Here is a 20,821-nt window from a genome sequence, read left to right as displayed (position 1 = left end):
GGGCCTTCCAACCAATGGGCAGTGCGTGCCCGCCCGTGGCTCTTCTTGACAGGCCTAATCCTGCTGTCCCAGCCAATCAGCTTGCCGGAGGAGCTCTCGATCCGGTCCCGCAGGTTCCGGCGCAGACGATGACACGGACCTACTTTCCGGTCAACGCGGCCTGCGGTACCACCTCCCACCCGGGTCCAATGTGCGCGCGAGCTTTGTCTCCAACCGCTTGGGAACTGACCAATAGGAACGTTGGATTAGGACTGACAGTTCCTGAAACCTCTCGGCAATAGCTTTGTCACCCGACTCCCGCCCCCTCTCCCGAAGCTCCGAGACAGGTGTGCCCGCCCCTCGCCGCCGGAGCCAATGGGCGCAGGGGGCGGGGATTGTTTACGTCTCGCTCCGGGGCGGAAAGTGGGTCAGGGCCGGGCCGGCGGAGCGCGCAGCGGGGGCTGCAGGTGAGTGGCGGGGCACGGGCCGACGTCTCGGGCTCTGGGCGGGCGCGCTGACCTTGCGGGCGCGGCGGTAGCAGCGCGGCCAGGGCGCCGCCTTTGTTCCTCTCCGGAGGGCCGCGCCCGAGAGAGGCTTCCCCGGTGCCGCCGACTCCGGAACCCGCGCGCCCGCGGGAGGGAACAGCCAGGCCGGGCTGCCGCCGGGGAGGGCGGCTCCCGCTGCACACGCGCTCGCCTGGGGCTGGGCAGGGTTCGGCGGTCCGGGCGCCGCGATCCGCCCCGGCCTCCCTGGAACCCCACCCGGGGCCCAGCGGGCGTTGCCAGCCGCGAGCCCGGCGCAGGGGTCGGCCCTGGAAGGCTAGGCGGGAACCCCGGAGCTGGCGAGGGAGGTGCCAGGCAGGTGGCCTGGGAAGCGCAGACCTGGCCCTCGCAGCCTTTTGCATTTTATACCATAACAGCGGCCAGCGCTGAGCAGGTTTTAAGATTTGTGTTTCACGAGGAGCCCTGGCGGTAGCGAGCGGAGGGGAAGGCGAGCTGCGCGGCCCAGGAGACGGTGGCGGGAGGAGGATGCAGGCGGGTGCGGCGGTCGGGCCGGGCGTGAGGGGAAGGTGTCGGGGAGCGGTCACGGTGCTTCTGGCATGAGGAACTGGGAGGCCGGAGATGCCATTTGTCAAACCGGACGACAGAGGAGGAGCGAGTGGAGGTTTTAGATGCCTGCGGGACAGGCGGGCGGGGCAGCCAGGTTCGTGAGGTGGAACCGGAGAGAGGGGCTGGGATTCGCATTCCGGAGTCATGGGTGTCTGGGTGGCGTTTCACAGGATCTACCTGGGTTTTATTGAGCTGCTCAGATCCTGGAGTGAGGTACGGGCTCCTGAAGCGTTCTGGAGCCCTGGCTGGGCACCGGTGCGGCCCCTGCAGTCCCCACTTTGAGTGGGTCCGTGGCCCAGCCTGGAAGCTCAGGGCTGGGAGTGCTGTGAGTCTTCCTTTGCCCAGAGCCTGTGTTTTCTTCTAGATTCTTTCCACCATGGCCAGACGCCCCCGGAACAGCAGGGCCTGGCACTTCGTCCTGAGTGCAGCCCGCCGAGACGCAGATGCCCGGGCCGTGGCTCTAGCAGGCTCCACTAACTGGGGCTACGACTCTGATGGGCAGGTAGGTTCCAGCGGGCGAGGCGGACGTGGCTGGCCTAAGGTGTGGAGATGCCCTAGGCAGGCAGGCAGACATTACCTGAACACGGAATCAGTCGGAGAAAAAGATGCTTCTGAGGCTAGAGGACCAGTCCAAACCTGGGCCTGTCTCCTGGATGCACCGCATTCAGTAAGACTCTTTAATTTGGCAAAGGACACACACAGCCTCAGGGGTGACAGGACCTCAGAACACACTGCATTCTTCACTGTGCTTTCTCCTCTGAAACACATGGTGCATGGAGAGGTTGGCAGTTGCTTTTGGTTCATTCAACAGAAATTCTCCACTACGGGGCTGGGCACTGTGGCTCACACCTATAATCCTAGCACTTTGGGAGGCTGAAGCTGGAGGACCACTTGAGCCCAGGAGTTTGAGACCTGCCTGGGCAACATGGTGAAACACTGTCTCTACAAAAATTTAAAAAATGTGTCAGGCGTGGTGGCACGTGCCTGTAGTCCCAACGACTCAGGAGGCTGAGCTGGGAGGATTGCTTGAGCCAGGGAGGTCAAGGCTGCAGTGAGCCGTGATCACACCAGTGCGTTCCAGCCTGGGTGACAGAGCTAGACCCTGACTCAAAAAAAACAAAAACAAAAAAATTCTTTGGTTTACCCAGCCCATTTCTGGAGGTGACCATTGTTAACTTGCTGGTTGTCTTACCAGACGCTTCTTCTGCCAGTACAAACGCATACTCTTTGTTCACATATATGTGTGTTAAAAAACAAACAAACAGAAAAACCCTGATCCTTGAAGGTAAAAATTTCTGCACTTGCTCAGGGAGGCCAGGAACCTGAAGGTATTCAGAACAGCTCAGGTGTTTGTCTGTCTGCAGCCCAGGTGATCTGACATGCTTGTGGGCTTTGCAGGCAGAGCTACCTGCCCCCATGGCCCCTGACCCCCACCTTGGCAGACCCTGAGGGCAGCTGCCTGGCCTGACGGGCGCAGTGAGGCTGGGAGGGGTGGGGGTCCCTGTGGGGGGTGATTTCCCAGTCGGTTTCCTGAGATCTCCCTCGGACCAGAGCAGGAGTGTGGCTGCGCCTCCCTGCCCCACTTCCAGCTACCACAGGTCATGTGCCCTGGAGCAGTCTCTCCTGGCCTCGCAGGGTCATGGCTGTGGGACGCGGGCGTGTCCACAGGCCAGGCCAGTGTCTGACACACGCATGCTGCTTGTCCTCTGTCACCATGGGCCGTGTCCTTCCGGGGCGGCTGCTTGTGTGACCTGGTGCTGCTCTCTGCTGTCACAGCTCCCCTGCGCTGCTGTTCCGGCTCAGCCAGGTGTCCTGGGAGGGGTGGGCTCCTCTCCTCTGAGTGAGGACTCCCTAAGCCCGGTGGGTCCATTAGGCCTTGGGGGCAAATTGGGAAACAGGGTCCTTACCCACCGGGTGGGGGCCGTCCTGAGGTCTCCTGGAGCTCCCTGCTCCAGCCAGGGAGAGGCCCCCACCTGCCTTCCCGCCCGCCTCCAGCTCCTGCAGGTCACATGCCTGAGCCTCACAGGCTCGTGGCTGTGGGATGCAGGCGTGCCTGCGGGCTCGGCAGTGTTCGACACATGTGCTGCTTGTCCTGTGTCACCAAATGGGCCTGCAGTCTGTTGTGGGCAGGAGGTAGGCAGTGGCTTCAGTCTTTCTCCTTCTCCAGGGAACCCGGCCCTGGGCCTGCAGTGCAGGTGCTCAGTTCTGTGCCCGGGCTCCTGACTCAGGGGGTCTACCCTGGCTCTGGGGACCCGCACTTCTAGGCAGTGGGGTAGAGTTGTCTGGGCCTGCCTTGTCTGTGGGGTGGGGCCATCCCCTCCAGAAAGGACAGTGTCCTGCCCTGAAGCTGGCTTTCGATAGGTCCACGTTCACCTGGAAGCTGGTGGCGCCCATGTCATGGTCCCCTGTGGCTTCTCCTGGGGATCACATCATCTCTCTGGACCAGCCCTCAACCCTCACTGTCACAAGGCCTCTGCCACAGGCCCCCCGCCACCACTTAGCACTCTCCCTGCTGACCCCCTGGTCCATTCAGCCCCTGGGTGGCCCCCACACAGTCTGTGACAGGGAGGAGGCTGGGAGGGGCACTGCCTCCCACAAGGAGCTCACGTTCTGGTGGGAGGAGGCCAAGAATCAGGACCAAGGAGAACTTCAGTGAAGCAAAAGAAGAAAAATGGAACAGGGGTGAAGGGGCTGGAGAAGCCTCAGGGAGGTGACAGCTGAAACCTGCACCAGGAGGGGCGGGGCCTGTAGTGGGCACTGGGCAGTAGGACCCTGTGGTGAGCCAGGTCTGCTCAGGTAACAGGAAGGTCGTTGGGCCACAGTGTGGTGGGGACTGCCCTGAGGCCGGGTGGCTGCAGCTGGGCCTGGTGTGGGGGTGGTGGCCTTGCCTGGGGGCCCCTGCAGGGCTGGCCTAGCAGGGAAGGTGTCCACACCATCTCAGCTCTGGGCAGGTGGGGTGGACCTGGGGCTTATCCACCGTCTAGAAACCACTTGGAGGCCAGGCAGCCTTGGCTACTGCTCTGTGGCTGGGCCTCCAGGGCCCTCCTGGTCATGCAGAATGGGGCAGAGCCGGAGCCCGTTGGGAGGGAGCCTGGGCTGTGCGCTCGGGGTACTGTGAAGTCCCTGGAGGCCTGGACCCCCATCCTTTCCTGGGTGGGTCAGGGACAGGGTGGGACAGGGACAGAGGGCAAGGGTGAGAGGGTAGAGAGCGGGCAACAGGTAGTAACAGCCGGCCCTTCTCTCCCAGCACAGCGACTCGGACTCCGACCCCGAGTACTCCACGCTGCCGCCATCCATCCCCAGTGCGGTGCCCGTGACCGGCGAGTCCTTCTGTGACTGTGCTGGGCAGAGCGAGGCCTCCTTCTGTAGCAGCCTGCACTCGGCCCACCGGGGCAGGGACTGCCGCTGCGGAGAGGAAGACGAGTGTGAGCGTGGGGCCCAGCCCCTGCTGGGACTGCACTGCGGGCGGGCCTGGGGGTGGGCAGGGCAGAGCCCCATGGAGCTCTCAGGGCTGCCCCAGCCTGGGCCTCTCTTGCAGATTTCGACTGGGTCTGGGATGACTTAAATAAGTCATCAGCCACCCTGCTGAGCTGTGACAACCGTAAGGTCAGCTTCCACATGGAGTACAGCTGCGGCACAGCGGCCATCCGGGGCACCAAGGAGCTGGGGGAGGGCCAGCACTTCTGGGAGATCAAGATGACCTCTCCCGTCTACGGCACCGACATGGTAAGTTGCTTCGGCCCAGGGTGCTTCTGGGGAACCTGGCTCCGGCAGCCCAGCCCCGCGCCCTCTGCCTGGCCCCTGTTCCTAGATGGTGGGCATCGGGACGTCGGATGTGGACCTGGACAAATACCGCCACACGTTCTGCAGCCTGCTGGGCAGGGATGAGGACAGCTGGGGCCTCTCCTACACGGGTGCGTGAGGCCCAGGGTGGGGCGGGGCCGAGCCTGGAGCTCCCGGGCTCACTGCGACCCTGGCTGCCCCCAGGCCTCCTCCACCACAAGGGCGACAAGACCAGCTTCTCATCGCGGTTCGGCCAGGGCTCCATCATTGGCGTGCACCTGGACACCTGGCACGGCACACTCACCTTTTTCAAGAACAGGAAGTGTATAGGTGAGGCCGTCACAGGACTTGAGCTCCTCTCAGCTGTCACCCCGAGGGAGGCAGCCACCCCGCCCCAGCCCAGGGGACACTGAGGTTTTCTGAAAGGGTTCCTCCCAGAAGCCTGAGGCCCCAGGGTCCCAGGGGGTGGGACAGTGAGGCCAGGCTGGAGTGGCAGGGCCAGCGCGTGCACCCTGCCTTGCCTCAGCTGTGCCAGCTGCCCACCCGGGTGACTGTAGCGTGAGGTCTGAGGGGCTGCGCCCAGTAGCTGGCCCCTTCCCTGCCTGGGGTTCAGGCTGGGCCCCTCCCTTCCAGGTGTGGCAGCCACCAAGCTGCAGAACAAGAGATTCTACCCGATGGTGTGCTCCACGGCGGCCCGGAGCAGCATGAAGGTCACCCGCTCCTGTGCCAGCGCCACTTCCCTCCAGTACCTGTGCTGCCACCGCCTGCGCCAGCTGCGGCCAGACTCGGGAGACACGCTGGAGGGTCTGCCGCTGCCGCCGGGCCTCAAGCAGGTGCTACACAACAAGCTGGGCTGGGTCCTGAGCATGAGTTGCAGCCGCCGCAAGGCTCCAGTGTCCGATCCCCAGGCAGCGACCTCCGCCCACCCCAGCAGTCGCGAGCCTCGGCCCTGCCAGAGGAAGCGCTGCCGCCGGACCTGACTGACTTCCCAGTGGAACTGCCTTCTTGGGCTGGGACAGCCCCTTTCCTCTGTCCCTTCTTTCTCTGTCCCTTCCTTCCAGCCACACTCCAGGGCGGAGTTGGATGAGGCCCGTCCGGAGGGAGCCATCTCTTGCTCCCGAGGCTGGGACAGTCCTTTCTGTGGGGGCTCTAGGGCCCCTCTGCTGCTGTGCTGGGTGGGGAAGCGGCTGCCCTGAGCCCCAGGTCTTGTGGGAGGCTGCGAGGACGAGAGCCTGGCTGGAGCCCGCGTTGCTGTTCCCACAGGGCCTCGGTTTTTCCTAACTTGCTCTGCATGCTGTCAGCGGCTGCCCCGCCGTCATAGACTTAAAGGACTGCAATAAATGTAGAGTTGATGTCTAACACCCACATGGCGTGAGCTGAAACGTATCCGTGCAGAGGCCGGGCTTGCGAGCAGCCTGGGCCTTCTCCCAGGCCTCACTGCCCCTCCACATCCTTGGGAGTCCCCTACTGCTTCTGGCTGAGGGTGCCACACCCCAAGCCTCCAGGTGGCAGTGGGGCCCTGGAGCTGCCTTCTGGTCCCTGCCGAGTGTGTGTGTGTGTTGGGGGGGCACAGCCCTGCTGCTGAGGCCTCCCCTGGGGCCTACGTGTTCAGGACTCAGCACAGGAACCGCCAGCCATCTGCCAGCCAGAAGCCCCTCTTCTCCCAGCTACCTAAAACTTCCCCTGCAACCACCCACCCTTCCCCTGAGGTCAGACCTGCTCAGCCAGAGAACCCACCCAGGCTGAGGGTCCACATGTGGCTGGGGGTCCTCCCCCACCGCCCAGGGTGTCTGGTCTGTCCCCAAGGCTGCATGCTGTCCTGGTGGTCCCACGTGTGGTCAGGAGCCCAGGTCCAGCAGGAGATCAGGGTTGGCTGTGGTCAGGAAGAGGCAGATGCGGCGGGAGAGGTCAGGCCCCACCCTGCGGGGACGCCCGCCTTCACTGGGCGGCACAGGAAGGTCGGCCAGGAGGCCCATGCGCTCCCGCTCCGTGCTGCAGGCCTCCAGCGCCTAGGAGCAGGCAAAGGCATGAGAGGGCGCCTGGGGACGGGGCTTCTGCACCTGGAGGGCTTGGAGGAGGCAGGGGCCCACCTGCTGCAGAAGGCGGGGGGAGGGGAAGGCTGTGACAACTGCATCAGCCACGGCTGGGCTGACCCGACTGAACTGCCTGATCTGCCTCCGCCAGGCCGCCTGCAGCCCTGCGCCGTCTCTTGCCACTGGCTCGCCGGCTGCCCAGCGCCCTGCTGTGCAGAAGGAGAAGGCCTGGGATTCCCGGTACTGCCTGGGGACAGAGAGAAGCCTTTTAGAACCTCATGTGAGCAGCTCCCAAAAGGCCGGGGAGGCACCACTACCTTGAGGTGATCCTGCCCCCCTTCAGCCTTGGCATCACGCACTTGAGGGGATACTGGGCGAGAGCCTTGGTAACGGCGCACACGTGCCGACTCAGCTCCTGCCAAGAGGCCACCAGTAGCACGTCCAGGTTTGCCCAGAGCTGCAGGAGTACCAGGGCCTGGGGAGGAGGCAAGCTGATGGGCACGAGCCAGAGGAAGGCTACCCGGGACACACAGCTGATAGCTGCCCCATGTACCACGCTGGGAACCAAACCCAGCCAGCAGCCCAATCACTGGGACCCAGGCCACCTGACTCACCCAGCTCAGACAGGCCCTCACCTCTTCCACCTCCGGCCAGCTGACGGCCACCTCGGCACCGGCCACCTTCGGGCTCTCTGGCTGCTGTGTCCCCCGGGAAACGTGCTGGCGAGACCTGAGCAGAGGTGACCATTCCTCCCCGCTCCCCATGGGGCCTGCCCTGCCCGAGCTTGGCCTCTGCCAGAGCCCACCTGGAGAAGTGGGATCAGCTGTGCCACAGCAACCCCAGAAGTGTGCCCACCTCCCCTGAACCCCCGTCCCAGCCAGCCCTGCTGTGGGCATGAGAGTGAGCGGTACCACAGGTAGGCATCCAGCCCGATGACAGCCAGGTGGGGCCGGGCGGTGGTCTCGGGGGAGATCCAGGGCACCCAGTGGGTTGGGCCAGAGATCTGAAGATGAGAACGTGTGGCACAGTTGTTCACAGGAGGCTGCGGCCTATGGCCATGGGCCACCAGGCCACAGCTGGTTTGCAGAACAGCAAGCCTGAAAAAGAGCCAGTGGTGCCGAGAGGAGCCTCTGTTCCGTTACCCCTTCTGAGAAAACCAGCTCTGTGCCTCCCACGAGGCCAAAGAGGCTAAGGAGACCCTGGAGTGGCTGCTCGGGCACATGTCAGTTCCATTGAGCCCCTCATCCTGGTCCACCTCTGTACTCCAGCCTAGCTTTGACCTAGCACAAAGCAGCAGCTTGAGAGACACTGATCCTGGGACACAGGGACCTGGCAGGGGGTCTAGCCTAACCCCACGCTACCTGGCACCACAGCACCTGAGCACTGCTCCCCGCAGGCAGGGGCCAGGCTGTCTGCTGTCAGAGGACGAAGCCTGCAGCCTACTGCCCGGACCCCGGCCTCCTGACACTTCTCAGGATCCTCTAGGAGCAGCTGTAGCCTCCGCAGGTGCCCAGGAGCTTTCTCCATCTCACCCTAGAAACCTCTACGGCTTTGGATCAGAGAGGAGTCCTGGCCTGCCCCATGCCCCCTCCAGCCCCGTCTACAGGGGCAGGGACCGGCGGAGCAGGCGCCTCCCGGCTGGGAACCCACCCCTCCTGATTAGAGAGGGACTACTGCCACCACCCGAGCACCTGGGTCAGTGTGGCGACGCCCTGCAGAAACTCCTCGGGCTCCAGCAGCAGCAGCAATTCCTGTTCACCTGCAGCCCACACTTCAGGAGGCAGCTGTGGGGACATGGGGACGCGCTGCTGCCTGTCTCAACCCCGGGTGCCCCAGGGGCCCTGCCTGGGCAGTCCAGCAGCAAAGCGGTTCGTGGCCCCAGCCAAGCCCAGGCCCTGACAGGCCTGCTCTACAGAAGCCCAGTGTTCCCTTTCCTGCCAAGGCCAAGCTCAGGCCAGGTCTCTGTGGCTGGCAGGAATCCAGACCACAGCCTGAATCGAGACGGAACCTTCTCCAGCCAGCTCGGCTCTATACCAGCAGAACGGCTTGGGCACCTCCACTTCCCGTTCTCCATCCTTGCTTTACCCATCCGCGAGACGCGCACGGCCCAGGGCAGCTGCCTCAGGGACAGCTCCAGGGCTGAAATCATGGAAGCAAAACAGCCAACTCGCGGCTGGCCCTCGGGAACCCGCGACCACTCACGCTGCGGGGGCAGGGGTCGGGACTCGCTCGGGTCCACCGCAGGCTGCGGGCCGGGCGCTGGGGCTCGATGCGGCACTCGCAGCCCAGGGCCTCCAGGGCCTCCATCAGGACGTCGGCACCGGCGTCTTCCAGGATGGCTGGGACCGGGGGAGAGGAGCGCGGTCACTGCTTCCTTCCACCCTCGCGAGCGCCCTACCTGGGCGGGTGGCCGGACCGGGGAGTCTCCATTCGGCACAAACCCCCGACTGGGAGGCGGGCCCGGCCCCAGGCCCCTCGGCACGCGCGCCCCGCCCAGTCGGACAGAGGGCGCCGCCTGGCGGAGAAAGGCCTTTCCTACCCCGAGTATCGCCCGTGCCCTCCGCCGCACCTGTGTCCACGCACACCGCGAGGCGCTTCAGGACCTGCTCCGGCCGCAGCAGCCGCAACGCCTCGGCAGCCGCCCTGCGCTCACCCGCTGGGTCCCGGGCTCTCGCGGCGGCCTCCGAGCCGGCGGAGTCCTCAGCGTCGGAGTCTGAGATCTCCCAGGTTGGAGGTCGCCGCTGACCGCTCCCGCCCCGTCCCCGGCCCCGGCCCTGGCAAGAGACCCCCGCCCTCCCGGGTCCAACCCGCGCCATGGCCGGACCGACCTCTTCCTCGCTTCCGGCCGCGACCGAACACTTTAGCCTGGGACACCGGCCTCTTCCGGTGACTTCCGGCCGGACCGCTGAGGACGCGGACCCGCCATGGCGCGGAAGAAGGTGCGTCCGCGGCTGATCGCGGAGCTGGCCCGCCGCGTGCGCGCCCTGCGGGAGCAACTGAACAGGCCGCGCGACTCCCAGCTCTACGCGGTGGACTACGAGACCTTGACGCGGCCGTTCTCTGGACGCCGGCTGCCGGTCCGGGCCTGGGCCGACGTGCGCCGCGAGAGCCGCCTCTTGCAGCTGCTCGGCCGCCTCCCGCTCTTCGGCCTGGGCCGCCTGGTCACGCGCAAGTCCTGGCTGTGGCAGCACGACGAGCCGTGCTACTGGCGCCTCACGCGGGTGCGGCCCGACTACACGGCGCAGGTGCGTGCACCCCGTCCGCACCCCGCCCCTGCAGCCGCCTGGTCTCCCCGCCTCCCCTCCTCCCTGCAGGTTTGCGTGGCTGAGGCTCCCACCTCCTGACCTCGGGGGCCGAGAGCTTTGCGAGCTGACCCCGCTTCCTTCTGGCTTTGCAGAACTTGGACCACGGGAAGGCCTGGGGCATCCTGACCTTCAAAGGTAAGGCTCGGGAGAGCGGGTGCCCGGCAGTTCGATGCCGACCGCCGACGGCACAGCAAGTGTGTGCAGACGCCTCTTTTTCTTCATCAGGGAAGACTGAGAGCGAGGCGCGGGAGATCGAACACGTCATGTACCATGACTGGCGGCTGGTGCCCAAGCACGAGGAGGAGGCCTTCACCGCGTTCACGCCGGCGCCGGAAGACAGCCTGGCCTCCGTGCCGTACCCGCCTCTCCTCCGGGCCATGATTATCGCAGAACGACAGAAAAATGGAGACACAAGCACCGAGGAGCCCATGCTGAATGTGCAGAGGATACGCATGGAACCCTGGGATTACCCTGCAAAACAGGAAGACAAAGGAAGGGCCAAGGGCACCCCCGTCTAGAATGCCAGAACCAGCGGGTGGCCTTAGGGGCTGTGAGGCAGTGGGGACCTTATTGATGAAAGAAACCGTCTTTGCGTTACACCCGAGTCTGCCTCTCGGAGCAGGGAGCTCACCTTCCGCGACGTGTTCTGAGGGTCTGCATCTTAGGGGGGAGGGCTGGGGCAAATCGCCACCTGTGCCTTTCCTCTGGCCCTGCTGCCCCCACACCCAACTCCGAGGGCCCACGCTGGGGAAAGCGGGAAGCGCTCGCTCCCTTTCCCCCATTAGTGCTCTCTCTGCCTGGATCCCGGCAGAAGCTATGAAAGGGAATAAAGAGAAAAGAAGTACCCAGGGTCGTGGTGTCTTTGCGCTCTGTCTTTAGGACCGGGGAGAGAAGGGCTGACGCTGTGGTCGTGGCCCTGGCCGGGGGGGCGCGGGGGGGGCGGGGTTCGGGCGGTGCGGAGCAGGGCGCCGCGTGGGTGGAACCACCTGGGCGGGTTGTGGGGGATACAGTTAGTGTCCGAGCTGCTGGAGGAGACTTGGCCTCCGCAGCTGCCCTCCGGCCCCCCACGGCTGCCGGGTTCCGGGGTGCAAGTGAAGCAGCCTCCCCGCGGAGGCCGCAGCGCCCCGACCAGGCCTCTTTAAGCGCAGGCCCCGCCCCGGGCGCCACCGCCCCGCCCCGCGGATCCCGCTCCCGCACCGCCATCATGATCTGCCTGGTGCTGACCATCTTCGCTAACCTCTTCCCCGCGGGTGAGCCGCGCGGCGCGGGCCGGGGGCGGGTGGCCGGTGCTGGGCCGGCCTGACGGCCCGTCCCCGCCTGCCCCGCAGCCTGCACCGGCGCACACGAACGCACCTTCCTGGCCGTGAAGCCGGACGGCGTGCAGCGGCGGCTGGTGGGCGAGATTGTGCGGCGCTTCGAGAGGAAGGGCTTCAAGTTGGTGGCGCTGAAGCTGGTGCAGGTGGGGGCGCGGTGAGCGAGCGGGGGCGCGGTGTGGGGGGAAGGGGAGCGGGGACCTGGGGACGCCTAGGTGCCGGGTGCGGGCGCAGGCGGCCTGACCCTTCCGCAGGCCTCCGAGGAGCTGCTGCGTGAGCACTACGCCGAGCTGCGTGAACGCCCGTTCTACGGCCGCCTTGTCAAGTATATGGCCTCCGGGCCGGTGGTGGCCATGGTGAGTATCCGGGAAGCGGGCGGGCGGCTCCGGGACCCCCACCCCCGCGTGATACCGCGCCCGTTCCTCCGCACAGGTATGGCAGGGGCTGGACGTGGTGCGCACCTCGCGGGCGCTCATCGGAGCCACGAACCCGGCCGACGCCCCGCCCGGCACCATCCGCGGGGATTTCTGCATCGAGGTTGGCAAGTAAGGCCCGCCCCGGGGACGGTCCCAGCCCCGTCCGGCCTCCCCCTGTTCAGCCTGCGTGGTACCCGTGCCGGAGGTCTCTTTCCCACGCTCACACGCGCCTCTTCCGCGCAGGAACCTGATTCACGGCAGCGACTCGGTGGAGAGTGCCCGCCGCGAGATCGCTCTCTGGTTCCGCGCAGACGAGCTCCTCTGCTGGGAGGACAGCGCTGGGCACTGGCTGTATGAGTAGCCCGGCAGATGCGCGTCACAGAGGCTCTCACACTCCAGCCTCCTCCAGGGCCCAGGTGGGCGGGCTTCTGGCCCCACCCCACAGCGCTTGGAGCATCCCTTTGGACGGGCTGCTGAACATCCACCTGTCTGGACGTTGCATGGAGGGTGGCGCAGGCCTCTCCAATCCCTGGCGTACAGGGTTTCCTGCCCGAGGAGCTGCTCCAGGAGCCTGCGCGGCTCGCCTGGAAACGTGCCAGGACACTGTCCTGGTGCCCAGCCCAACGTGGTCCAACGTTTTTTTATAATAAAGTCCTCGTTTTCGTTTCGATTTGGGCCCAGGAACAGGCAGCTACGACGTTAAGACATTTATTACATACAGAGCAGATATGTGGGTTTGCTTGCAGGGCCAAAGCCTGAGGAGAATCGTCACCCCTCCCCCAGCCGCCCCACTGCTCAGCCCGGAGTCACTTCGAGATCCTGGGGGAACAGACGAGGGAGCGGACATACATCACAGTGGAGGTGGCAGGGTGGTGGGGAGAAGCCGGCAGCGCAGCGGCTGCAGCCCTCGGTGGCCAGCGGGGCTTGTGGGGCAGCTCCCCAAGATCTGTGCTTCTCTGGTTGGGGGTGGGTGCGGGGGCTGGGCTGCCCTCATAAGGGCCTCCCAGACAGGAGTGCAGTGGGCCTGGAAGGTAGGAATAGGCCAGAGAGGCCCAGCTGGGCAGGGAGAGCAGTCCAGGGTGGCGTCTGCCCTCTGCGGGCTTGGAGTCGGCTGGGGGCGGCTCCATCCTCAGCCCCACGGGCCTCTGCTTGGTGGCCTCTCTGTTGCTCCCTGGAAGCAGGCCACAGCGGGCAACCCTAGGCACTTAGTAGCGTGTCTGGGAGCTGGGCTCCGTGGAGCCCCGTGCAGGAGGCAGGCCCCGGGAGCACATCATCCCCCATCAACCTGAGGCTGAGCCTGTGTCCTAGGACTGATCCCGGAGAGGCCAGGGGCCTCCCCTTCTTCCTGAGGCCTGGGCCTGCCCTGGCAGCCTGAGAAATCCCACCCTGGGGGCTTCTGGGAGGGACAGGACTCCAGGGCCCACTCCTCCAAGGTGAGTCTTCTGCCCAGGCAGAGCCTGGGGGGACACGGGTCAGAACGGGGCTGGCAAGAGCCTGCCTGCATGGGCAGGATGGGGTAGCAGTCTCTGTTCTCAAGCAGCTGCCCCAGGGAGCCGGGCCTCGTGCTTTTATGCCAGCTCCCTGGGCAGGGGACAGCTGGGGTGGGGACAGACAGGATAGAGGCTTGACGACGGGGAGGCCCCAGAGAAGGCCGGCTGGGGTGCAGGCACCTGGGCAGCCTGAGGCCCACCTCCCTGGGCAAAGGCTAGTGCCTGGCCCAGCTCCCCTAGGCAGAGTGAGGGCCCAGGAGGCAGGGTGGCCCCATGAGCAGCATGCAGAGGTGGGCCCAGGGCAGGCAGCCTCGGCGGCGGGGAGCCCCTGCCTCCTCCAGGGGTGCTGGGGAGTAGGAGGCCCAGGGTAGAGCCAGGACCACCTCGGATTCTGCCTGCGCTGGGCCCAAGGTGCCCTGGACTTGAGGACTCTGGGCTGGAAGCTGGCCAGGAGCTGCCCGGGAAACTGTCCCGAGAGCATCTTCCCCTCGGGTGGAAGTTCCCCTCCCCTCCTCCTCCCAGCTGATCCGCATCCCCGCACTCCCTGCCCGCTGGAGGGGCCAGACTCAGGTGAAAGCTGCAGGTTGAGAGGTTAGAAGAGGGGCGGCGGCGCCTGGCTGGCTACCCCGCGGGCCGGGCGGGGGTCAGGTGGTCGGGGGTCCTATGTACAGGTCGGGCCAGGCAGGGCAGCAGCTTCACTCGGGGGTGTAGGACACCTGCCACACGATGATGTGACTGCGCTCTGCCTTGGACAGCACGGGCTTCACCTGGCTCATGTCCCCTGCGCCCTCCTCCGTCTCGTCGTCCTCTCCGTCTCCTGCGGGCAAAGCAGCAGAGTGACGGCCAGGCTCCCCCCGCGCCCAACCTCAGCCCTGTCCCTGGGCCCCGCTCACCAATGCGGAAGTCGATGTAGCCCTCCCCGCCGCTCAGCACCAGCACGTTCCGCAGCTTCTGGCCCTCGACCTCCGAGGCAGGGGCAGCTGGCCCAGGGCCCTCGGCTGGGCTGTCCAGCACACTCCCATTCAGGGTGGCCAGCACGTTCCCTGGGATGGCAGAAGCGATTCAGGACAGCGGCCTCCTGGGGGAGGCGGCGGCCACTGGCATGCAGGGGATGTGGATGGCAGGAGGGGCCCAGCCTCACCTGGCACCGAGACAAAGAACTTCACGGCATCGCGGTGCCCATGGAAGCATAGCTGGGCCTGGGCCATGGAGCAGTAGGGGATGAAGCTGCTGGCCGCCCTGTCACTGCTGTCATCGCCATACACGTGGATGATGCCCCCGGGACGGGCGCCCTCCCCAGAGGTGGGGGATGTCTTATTGGCTGCAGGGAGAGAACCCAGAGGCGCTGAGCCCGCATACAGGTGGAGAGTGGGAGAGGCTCCCGTGAGGGGACACGAGGTGGCTGGGCTTACCTCGGAGCCCCAGGAGCTGGCCTCGGTGCAGGACCACAGCTGGGGACATGGGAGGAGCATGGGAGAAGAGGAGAGCGGTCAGCGTAGGGGCAGCAAGGCACCCTCCAAGGTGGCCCTGCAGAGCCACCCCGTGAACCCACGTACACCTCTGGCAGCACCACTGCCCCTGCAGGTGTGCAGGCCACTCACTCTCTGTCAGGGGGATGGAGATGACCACTCCGTTGCCGGTGCCCACCCAGAGCCGGCTGCCCGCGACAAGCAGGGCCGTGATGCGTACGAAGGAGAAACCCAGCTTGCCAGTGCCTGTGGGGGAGAGCGGTCAGGGTGGCTGGCCTTGAGCACCCCACCACCCCATCTGGCGTGGCCCCTCACCTAGCATCTTGCTGACGTAGGGCTCAATGTCCACGTCCTGTAGATGCTGGTGCGTGTGTGCATGGTAGAGCCTCAGGGTGGAGTCCAGGCGGATGGACACCCATACGCCATCGCCGATCCACGCCAGCTGCCGCACCTGGCTCTCCCGCCGCGGGTGGGCGTCAAATGACTTCTGTGGAGTCATGGCTGCCCATCAACAGGGCTGGGGAGAGGAGAGGAAGTGGGGAGCCCCAAACCTGCCACAGCTCCAGGGCCACCTGCAGTCCCCTCAGACCTCCCAGCCAGCGCCTGCTTTGCGCCTGTTCGAGCCTGAGTCATAGGTGGTACAGGGGAGATGGGACCCACGTAGGGCCTCGTGGACTTCCGTATGGAAGATGCGGGAGAGCTGCTGGCCAGCAGGAGCCTCTTCCCCTCCCCGGGGCCCTGGCCGGCACTCGCCTCTATCTGCATGGTCTTGGGCTGGATGACGTGCACCTTGTTCTTGTAGCCACACCACACGCGGTCGTACACAACAGCCATGCAGCGGATGGAGTGGTGCGGGTGGCCCAGGTCCATTAGGTGATAGTTGCTCAGATCCCACTGGCCATCTGGAGGGAGCCCCGGACACCTGCTCAGGCCTGGCCAGGCCCCACCTCTGCTCAGGGCATCGGGTTGAGACACCCACTGCCAGACTAAGGAGAGGCCTGGAACCCCGGGAGCCCCTTGGCTAAACAATGCCAGGGCCATCAGCTGCCACCCACACACCCCGTGCTGCCAGGCCCCACCTTCACCACGGTGGAAGATGGCCAGGGTCCCGTCCGCCAGAGCCACCAGCACACGGCCTTTGACATGCCTGAAACAGGAATGCGGTGAGCCTGGTTTGGGCCAGGCTGTGCCAGCCCCCTCCGCCCCGTTCCCCCGCGCCGCCCGGCCCTCGGTCTGGGGTCACCCACACCAGGCTCAGCACAGAATCCTTCAGCTTGATGGAGTGCAGGCACTTCTTCCAGTTGGCCACAGCCGAGTGCACATAGAGCCTAGGGAAGGAAGCGGCGATGGGCGAGGGGCTCACCCAGGACCCTCCCTCCACCTTGCCCCGGGCCCTTCCTACCAGCCGTTCTGGGCTCCCAGCCACATGGTGGGTGCAGCACTGCTGCCTGCTCCCGTGGGGTCCCCGCTGGGCTCTGGCTCTGGCCGTGTGCTGCTGCTGTCAGGCTCTGGCCCGTTCTCGCTGCAGGAAGAACGGTGGCTCCAGGGGGGGCCACGGAGCACGCACCTGCCCCAAGACCCCGAGGCCCTTCCCACCTCTGCAAGCCTTCCCTCTGCTCCTGCCCCAGCCCAAGAGCTCACCTGCCAGGCTGGGGGCCAGAGGACGGGGTCGGGGCTGGGTCAGTGAAGACGTGCTCTGTGAGAGGCCCGGGCCGCAATGTGGCTGTCTCTGGCTCGCTGGGCCCAGGGTCTGGCACCTCCGTGGCCTCTGTGGCCTCCTCTGTGGACTGGGACGGGTTGACCTTCCCGTTGGCGATGGTGGCCACCTCCCCTGTGTTAGGAGAGGTGAGCTTGGGCTGGGCAGAAACGTGGGAATGAGGGGATGGGGGAAACTCGCCCAGGACTCACCCTGCCCCTTGTCTAGCACTGGGGTGTCCCCTCGGGAGGAGCAGTTGCTCCGCGGCACGTTGCAGCGGGTGGCACAGCCCACCAGGGTGATACCGGCCAGCACGCCATCTGCGCCCGGGTCCTCTGGGTTCACGTCGCTGTCCAGGAACATCTCCCCGGGAGGGTAGTCGCTGTCGCTGGCCGCTGGGGAGAGGGACGGCCCGTCAGCCTGTGCGGGGGAACCCACTACTGCAAGGGCGTGCCCAGCACTTACACAGGGGCAGAGGAAGCCGGGGCTGGCCTTCCACTTTCCCAGCAGACCCAGCTTCCACACATGCTCCACCCACAGCCCACCCACGACCCTCTGCCTGGAGGTCTGGGACTCCAGCAAGCCTGCTCTGTTGGGTAGGCCCCTGGGCCAAGGGGAGCTGAGTAGTAAGACTCTGGTTCTGGGAGCAAACAACCTGTGATCCTGTGGCAGACCCTCAGGACCCCAGACGGCCCTGTGGTTTCACACCAGAGACCTGGCAGAGCCCTCGGCACCCCTTCGTCCTCCCAGTGTTGGGGCTGGCCCAGAACATCACCAAGGCTACTGCCCACAGGGGTGACACGAAGCTCCTCACCCACACCCCCATAGCCCCTTCGGCCCAACTGGAGGTTTCACATTCAGCATGAGGAAATGTTTTCCTGTGGTCTCCGAGTGATGCTTCAAGCTGCAGGCCGTGCCCACCCGTCACCCTCTAACCAGGTAAGCGTGGGGTCCTGAGTAGGTAGGGAGAAGAGGCCGAGGCTGCCGCGAGCTTCCTCCCAGAAACAGGGCCCAGGGCCTCACTTGACTGGGTGCTGCCCCTCCCACCGTCCACTGCCACATTCCCGTGTCCACAGGACACCCCGAGAAGGCAGCTGCTGTGTGGCAGGGCTTTTACTTAGCTTGCTAGTAAAAGGGAGTGGCGCCCGAGTGGAAACGCCCACTCCAGCTGCTCACCGGGGATGCTGGAGATGCACAGCACGTGCGCGTTGCAGACGGTGAACTGGTCCACCACCGTGCCCGGCTGGTTGGCGTCGATGATCACCACCTTGCTGGTGGTCAGGGTGCTGGTCAGGATCCACACCCGGCTGGAGGTGGCGTCCATTTCAGGGAGCTCCTTGGCCTGTTTCAGGGCACGGGATCAAGGTCAGAGCCCGAGCTTGAGGCTACCCGGTGGCAGCACAGGGCCATGGGGCTCCCAGAATCTGTCAGGATCCAGCCTTGACTACAGCTTGAGGGGACATGGCTGTCCTCCCCCAGGACCAGAACAATGCGGACTCAGGACTGCACTCTAAAGCACTCACAGACACGGTTTCGCCTCCACAGAAGAGGCCCCTGAGCTCCAAGAGGCCCAAGCTGGGCATAAAACTAAGCCTCCCACCACTGGGAGGCAAGCTCTGCCGCTCCTGGGCTCCTCTGTGCCTGCTGCCTGCCTGACCCCTGCAGCCCAGTGCAGGCCCACTCCAGGCCACCTGGGGGGTGAAAACTGAAAACCCAGAAGGCGGCTCAGTCCTGGTGAGGGAAGACACTGCTTCCCGCAGTCTAGGAGCCCCTGCGCTGCCCTGCTTCCGGGTGCTGTCCCCAGCTGTCCTGTGTCTCACTCCCAGCATGCTCTGCAGCTGAGCTGTCCTGAGACTAAGCCAGGGAGGGTGCCCGGTGGCCTCGGCCATGCTCACCTTCTTCTTCTCGGGAGACGTGTGGGCGCTCTTGGGCTCGCCGTCTCCTTCGCGGTCGCAGGTCAGGGGATCGCGGCCTGGCGCTGGCTTGACTCCATTCCCAGCGTCGTCCTCATTGGGCCTCCACCCGCTCAGGTTGACGCCCGCGGCACACCACAGCTGCAAGGGCAGGGCCGAGGTCGGGTGTCACCGGCACTCCCCAGCCTCCCGCTCGCCCAGCCAGCCTGAGCGGGGTCCTCGCGGGCTCACCTTCATGGTGGGGTCCTTCTCCACCAGAGGGCGGCAGTACACCGGCACCGGCACGTTCTTCATCCGCGTGTCCTCCTGGCCCCCGTTGGGACTCAGCTGCAGGGAGCAGGGAGGCGCCGTGGGCACGAACCCTGGCTCCTACCCATCCCTCCAGAAATCTGAGACAGGTAGGGCTGCCAGCTTCTGGCGGCACAGCCACTTCAAGACTGGAGGCAGGTGGGGGCGTGGGAGCCGCGGGGCTCCTTCTCCGACCCTCCAGACCCCTGCCCAGGAGGCTCACTAGGAACCTGCCAGGCCCCGCCCCACCCGCCGTCCTCTCCCACCCCCTAGCACTGCCCCGCCCTCTCCCCGCCCCACAGCGCCCCGCCCCTTACCCCCGCCCCGCCTCTGCGGGGCCCCGCCCGGTCCCCGCAGCGCCCGCCCGCACCTGCTTGTACTTGGCGGGCAGGCTCCAGCCGCAGGCCTGCAGACGGCCGTCGTCGTTACGCACGTGCTCACGCACCTGGCGGTACTGCTCGCGCTTCTGCTCTCGACGGGCGGAGGACGTGCAGTCGCTGAGTGGAAGAATGATGGGTGATGTCTCTGTCCAGGGTGAGCGGCCCCCACAGTGCCCCAGGCTTGTCCTGGGGGAGGTCACGGCAGGGAGGCCCGCCTGGGCCCATCCTCGCCTTTTCCCGGCCACCGGGTGCCCAGCTGGGAAGGGTGGCTTTCCCGGCACTGGGTGCCCAGCTGGGAAGGGTGGCTTTCCTGGCACCGGCTATGCCCCTGGGCTTGGAGGCCACAGCTGGCCCCTGCTCGACCCAGAGGCTGCTCTGCTGCCACAGTCACTGAGGGTTCCACAGACCGGGACCTGGAGTGCCGCCGGGGCACAGGCATGACCAGCGACTCCCTGCTGGACAGACGCCTGAAACGGCTCCTTGCTGCAGAGGCCACCGTGGAGCCCAGCACAGCCCCCTGACTGTTGGTGGGCACAGCCTCTGCCAAGGGACATCCTGAACCAAATACCGTGGAGCCAAAGCAGCCCAGCTCCCCGCTGCAGGGAGGGGCAGGCAGTGTGCAGGGAGAGGTCACGGCCCCTGGCATGTGGCCAGCAAGGTGGAGGCTGCCCTCAAAGTCCCGCTTCAGGGCCTGGAGGGGAGGAGCCTCAGGACAGGGCCTCCCCAACCCCATTGCAGGCCACAAGTGGGGGCTGCGGGACACTCACTCGTCAGGGAAGAATTCCAGGGGCCGGCTGCCTGCCGAGATCGGGCACATGGCATGGTTGCGGCGCTGGCTGAAGCCGGCAGTGGTGGGTGACTTGTAGTGGATGTTCACCGAGGGATAGGGGCGCTTGGCCGGAGGGGGGCTGGAGGAAGAGCTGAAGAGGCGGCTGAAGCTGCCAGAGGCACAGGGAGGTGAGGGGTGGGCAGAGGACCAGGGAACCTCCCTGCCCCTTCCCCTGCAGCTGCTGCCCACATCCCCCAGGGGCCCCCAGCTTACAACTGCCAGATGGTCGACTTCTTCTTCTCCTGGACGGATGGGTGCTCTCGGGACGCTCTGCAGGGGAGGGCACAGGGAGCAACCTGCTAGTGCCCTCACGCCTCCCTTACCTGCGACTCTCTGGCTCCCGCCAGGAAGCACCCAGCGCACTTCAGTCCCCCCAGAAGACAGGGAGGTGCAGAGGAGGGAGCCGCAGTCCTGCCGTCAGGGATGATCCCGCAGCCCCTCCTGGGGTGGCCGCAACTCCCACCTGATCATCTCAGTCCACCGCACAGCCTCCTGCAGCTCCATCAGCCGCTCCTTGTACTGGTTCCGCTCCATGAGCACACGGGCCATCTCCACCCGCGTGAAGCGGCGGCGCTGGGCCATGGGGATTTTGTCCTGCGGAGGGAGGGGCACAGAGGCTCAGCCAGCCCTCGGAGGCCGGGTGACACCTGCTTCCTCCTGGGGTGCCTACACGTATAGGTGGATCTCAGTGCCAATTTCCTTCAGATCCTCAGGCAAGAAGCGGTGTGGAGGGGTGTCGGCAAGCGGGGAGGGGAACCATACAAAAGGCATGCACCAGGACTTGGGTGCTGACAGGGGACCCGGCATCCTGCCAGGGC

The 20,821-nt window shown here is 65.8% G+C and overlaps 5 protein-coding genes across 24 annotated transcripts in view, besides 15 other annotated features; 3 read left to right on the top strand and 2 right to left on the bottom strand.

Annotated features, from left to right (window-relative positions):
• Positions 50–199: an enhancer, noted in NCBI's record as "active region_10238". NCBI's record gives its function as "activates an Ori minimal core promoter by ATAC-STARR-seq in GM12878 lymphoblastoid cells {active_cell/tissue: GM12878}" and the evidence as "EXISTENCE:reporter gene assay evidence [ECO:0000049][PMID:35858748]".
• SPSB3 (splA/ryanodine receptor domain and SOCS box containing 3) lies at positions 377–6,236 on the top strand. 5 transcript variants are annotated; one of them, NM_080861.4, is made up of 7 exons: positions 377–446; positions 1,453–1,590; positions 4,336–4,513; positions 4,627–4,814; positions 4,900–5,002; positions 5,076–5,201; positions 5,505–6,236. In NM_080861.4, the coding sequence occupies exons 2-7, from the start codon at positions 1,465–1,467 to the stop codon at positions 5,849–5,851; spliced, it is 1,068 nt and encodes a 355-aa protein (NP_543137.2). In that variant the 5' UTR covers positions 377–446; positions 1,453–1,464; the 3' UTR covers positions 5,852–6,236. The 5 variants fall into 5 exon arrangements, with proteins under 5 accessions (NP_543137.2, XP_005255730.1, XP_047290822.1 ...); XM_005255673.6 differs by having other exon boundaries at positions 1,453–1,755; XM_047434866.1 differs by having other exon boundaries at positions 377–915.
• Positions 410–769: a silencer, noted in NCBI's record as "silent region_7007". NCBI's record gives its function as "represses an Ori minimal core promoter by ATAC-STARR-seq in GM12878 lymphoblastoid cells {active_cell/tissue: GM12878}" and the evidence as "EXISTENCE:reporter gene assay evidence [ECO:0000049][PMID:35858748]".
• On the bottom strand, positions 1,246–10,138 carry EME2 (essential meiotic structure-specific endonuclease subunit 2). Its single transcript, NM_001257370.2, has 8 exons — positions 9,474–10,138; positions 9,107–9,243; positions 8,596–8,688; positions 7,816–7,907; positions 7,540–7,633; positions 7,264–7,379; positions 6,962–7,151; positions 1,246–6,880 (listed from the first exon to the last, which is right to left on the bottom strand). Exons 1-8 carry the CDS (start codon positions 9,718–9,720, stop codon positions 6,710–6,712), a joined length of 1,140 nt encoding a protein of 379 aa, NP_001244299.1. The 5' UTR covers positions 9,721–10,138; the 3' UTR covers positions 1,246–6,709.
• Positions 6,768–7,268: an enhancer, noted in NCBI's record as "H3K4me1 hESC enhancer chr16:1825681-1826181 (GRCh37/hg19 assembly coordinates)". NCBI's record gives its function as "activates a minimal SCP1, AML or CMV promoter by ChIP-STARR-seq in primed H9 embryonic stem cells {active_cell/tissue: H9 hESC(primed)}" and the evidence as "EXISTENCE:reporter gene assay evidence [ECO:0000049][PMID:30033119]".
• Positions 8,104–8,892: an enhancer, noted in NCBI's record as "H3K27ac-H3K4me1 hESC enhancer chr16:1824057-1824845 (GRCh37/hg19 assembly coordinates)". NCBI's record gives its function as "activates a minimal SCP1, AML or CMV promoter by ChIP-STARR-seq in naive and primed H9 embryonic stem cells {active_cell/tissue: H9 hESC(naive and primed)}" and the evidence as "EXISTENCE:reporter gene assay evidence [ECO:0000049][PMID:30033119]".
• Positions 9,070–9,129: a silencer, noted in NCBI's record as "silent region_7006". NCBI's record gives its function as "represses an Ori minimal core promoter by ATAC-STARR-seq in GM12878 lymphoblastoid cells {active_cell/tissue: GM12878}" and the evidence as "EXISTENCE:reporter gene assay evidence [ECO:0000049][PMID:35858748]".
• Positions 9,140–9,249: a silencer, noted in NCBI's record as "silent region_7005". NCBI's record gives its function as "represses an Ori minimal core promoter by ATAC-STARR-seq in GM12878 lymphoblastoid cells {active_cell/tissue: GM12878}" and the evidence as "EXISTENCE:reporter gene assay evidence [ECO:0000049][PMID:35858748]".
• Positions 9,260–9,569: a silencer, noted in NCBI's record as "silent region_7004". NCBI's record gives its function as "represses an Ori minimal core promoter by ATAC-STARR-seq in GM12878 lymphoblastoid cells {active_cell/tissue: GM12878}" and the evidence as "EXISTENCE:reporter gene assay evidence [ECO:0000049][PMID:35858748]".
• Positions 9,600–9,699: a silencer, noted in NCBI's record as "silent region_7003". NCBI's record gives its function as "represses an Ori minimal core promoter by ATAC-STARR-seq in GM12878 lymphoblastoid cells {active_cell/tissue: GM12878}" and the evidence as "EXISTENCE:reporter gene assay evidence [ECO:0000049][PMID:35858748]".
• Positions 9,750–9,889: an enhancer, noted in NCBI's record as "active region_10237". NCBI's record gives its function as "activates an Ori minimal core promoter by ATAC-STARR-seq in GM12878 lymphoblastoid cells {active_cell/tissue: GM12878}" and the evidence as "EXISTENCE:reporter gene assay evidence [ECO:0000049][PMID:35858748]".
• On the top strand, positions 9,814–11,053 carry MRPS34 (mitochondrial ribosomal protein S34). 2 transcript variants are annotated; one of them, NM_023936.2, is made up of 3 exons: positions 9,814–10,149; positions 10,302–10,344; positions 10,435–11,053. In NM_023936.2, exons 1-3 carry the CDS (start codon positions 9,829–9,831, stop codon positions 10,725–10,727), a joined length of 657 nt encoding a protein of 218 aa, NP_076425.1. In that variant the 5' UTR covers positions 9,814–9,828; the 3' UTR covers positions 10,728–11,053. The 2 variants fall into 2 exon arrangements, with proteins under 2 accessions (NP_076425.1, NP_001287829.1); NM_001300900.2 differs by having other exon boundaries at positions 10,414–11,053.
• Positions 10,060–10,199: a silencer, noted in NCBI's record as "silent region_7002". NCBI's record gives its function as "represses an Ori minimal core promoter by ATAC-STARR-seq in GM12878 lymphoblastoid cells {active_cell/tissue: GM12878}" and the evidence as "EXISTENCE:reporter gene assay evidence [ECO:0000049][PMID:35858748]".
• Positions 10,680–10,769: an enhancer, noted in NCBI's record as "active region_10236". NCBI's record gives its function as "activates an Ori minimal core promoter by ATAC-STARR-seq in GM12878 lymphoblastoid cells {active_cell/tissue: GM12878}" and the evidence as "EXISTENCE:reporter gene assay evidence [ECO:0000049][PMID:35858748]".
• Positions 11,070–11,659: a silencer, noted in NCBI's record as "silent region_7001". NCBI's record gives its function as "represses an Ori minimal core promoter by ATAC-STARR-seq in GM12878 lymphoblastoid cells {active_cell/tissue: GM12878}" and the evidence as "EXISTENCE:reporter gene assay evidence [ECO:0000049][PMID:35858748]".
• NME3 (NME/NM23 nucleoside diphosphate kinase 3) lies at positions 11,405–12,628 on the top strand. 4 transcript variants are annotated; one of them, XM_005255332.5, is made up of 5 exons: positions 11,405–11,459; positions 11,538–11,668; positions 11,777–11,878; positions 11,955–12,059; positions 12,182–12,628. In XM_005255332.5, the coding sequence occupies exons 1-5, from the start codon at positions 11,414–11,416 to the stop codon at positions 12,293–12,295; spliced, it is 498 nt and encodes a 165-aa protein (XP_005255389.1). In that variant the 5' UTR covers positions 11,405–11,413; the 3' UTR covers positions 12,296–12,628. The 4 variants fall into 4 exon arrangements, with proteins under 4 accessions (XP_005255389.1, NP_002504.2, XP_011520805.1 ...); NM_002513.3 differs by having other exon boundaries at positions 11,955–12,067; XM_011522503.3 differs by having other exon boundaries at positions 11,538–11,679.
• Positions 11,970–12,169: a silencer, noted in NCBI's record as "silent region_7000". NCBI's record gives its function as "represses an Ori minimal core promoter by ATAC-STARR-seq in GM12878 lymphoblastoid cells {active_cell/tissue: GM12878}" and the evidence as "EXISTENCE:reporter gene assay evidence [ECO:0000049][PMID:35858748]".
• Positions 12,597–20,821, bottom strand: part of MAPK8IP3 (mitogen-activated protein kinase 8 interacting protein 3) — a 64,157-nt gene continuing 55,932 nt past the window's right edge. For 10 of the 12 annotated variants that reach the window (XM_011522429.3, XM_047433812.1, XM_011522430.3 and 7 more), the window contains 19 exons: positions 20,467–20,597; positions 20,217–20,273; positions 19,942–20,112; positions 19,165–19,291; positions 18,738–18,833; positions 18,489–18,647; positions 17,770–17,935; positions 16,806–16,988; positions 16,539–16,728; positions 16,300–16,419; positions 16,145–16,225; positions 15,977–16,044; positions 15,651–15,799; positions 15,213–15,384; positions 15,030–15,143; positions 14,841–14,879; positions 14,570–14,749; positions 14,322–14,471; positions 12,597–14,245 (listed from right to left, as the gene is read on the bottom strand). In XM_011522429.3, coding sequence (XP_011520731.1) covers positions 14,124–14,245; positions 14,322–14,471; positions 14,570–14,749; positions 14,841–14,879; positions 15,030–15,143; positions 15,213–15,384; positions 15,651–15,799; positions 15,977–16,044; positions 16,145–16,225; positions 16,300–16,419; positions 16,539–16,728; positions 16,806–16,988; positions 17,770–17,935; positions 18,489–18,647; positions 18,738–18,833; positions 19,165–19,291; positions 19,942–20,112; positions 20,217–20,273; positions 20,467–20,597 — 2,475 coding nt within the window. In that variant the 3' untranslated portion in view covers positions 12,597–14,123. The remainder of the gene's footprint in view (positions 14,246–14,321; positions 14,472–14,569; positions 14,750–14,840; positions 14,880–15,029; positions 15,144–15,212; positions 15,385–15,650; positions 15,800–15,976; positions 16,045–16,144; positions 16,226–16,299; positions 16,420–16,538; positions 16,729–16,805; positions 16,989–17,769; positions 17,936–18,488; positions 18,648–18,737; positions 18,834–19,164; positions 19,292–19,941; positions 20,113–20,216; positions 20,274–20,466; positions 20,598–20,821) is intronic. The other 2 variants (NM_015133.5, NM_001040439.2) reach the window with 1 other exon arrangement.
• Positions 14,280–14,329: an enhancer, noted in NCBI's record as "active region_10235". NCBI's record gives its function as "activates an Ori minimal core promoter by ATAC-STARR-seq in GM12878 lymphoblastoid cells {active_cell/tissue: GM12878}" and the evidence as "EXISTENCE:reporter gene assay evidence [ECO:0000049][PMID:35858748]".
• Positions 18,107–18,821: an enhancer, noted in NCBI's record as "H3K27ac-H3K4me1 hESC enhancer chr16:1814128-1814842 (GRCh37/hg19 assembly coordinates)". NCBI's record gives its function as "activates a minimal SCP1, AML or CMV promoter by ChIP-STARR-seq in naive H9 embryonic stem cells {active_cell/tissue: H9 hESC(naive)}" and the evidence as "EXISTENCE:reporter gene assay evidence [ECO:0000049][PMID:30033119]".

This window comes from Homo sapiens, chromosome 16, assembly GCF_000001405.40.
Source record: "Homo sapiens chromosome 16, GRCh38.p14 Primary Assembly".
Classification (NCBI taxonomy): domain Eukaryota; kingdom Metazoa; phylum Chordata; class Mammalia; order Primates; family Hominidae; genus Homo; species Homo sapiens.
This window is presented reverse-complemented; position numbering and strand designations above follow the sequence as displayed.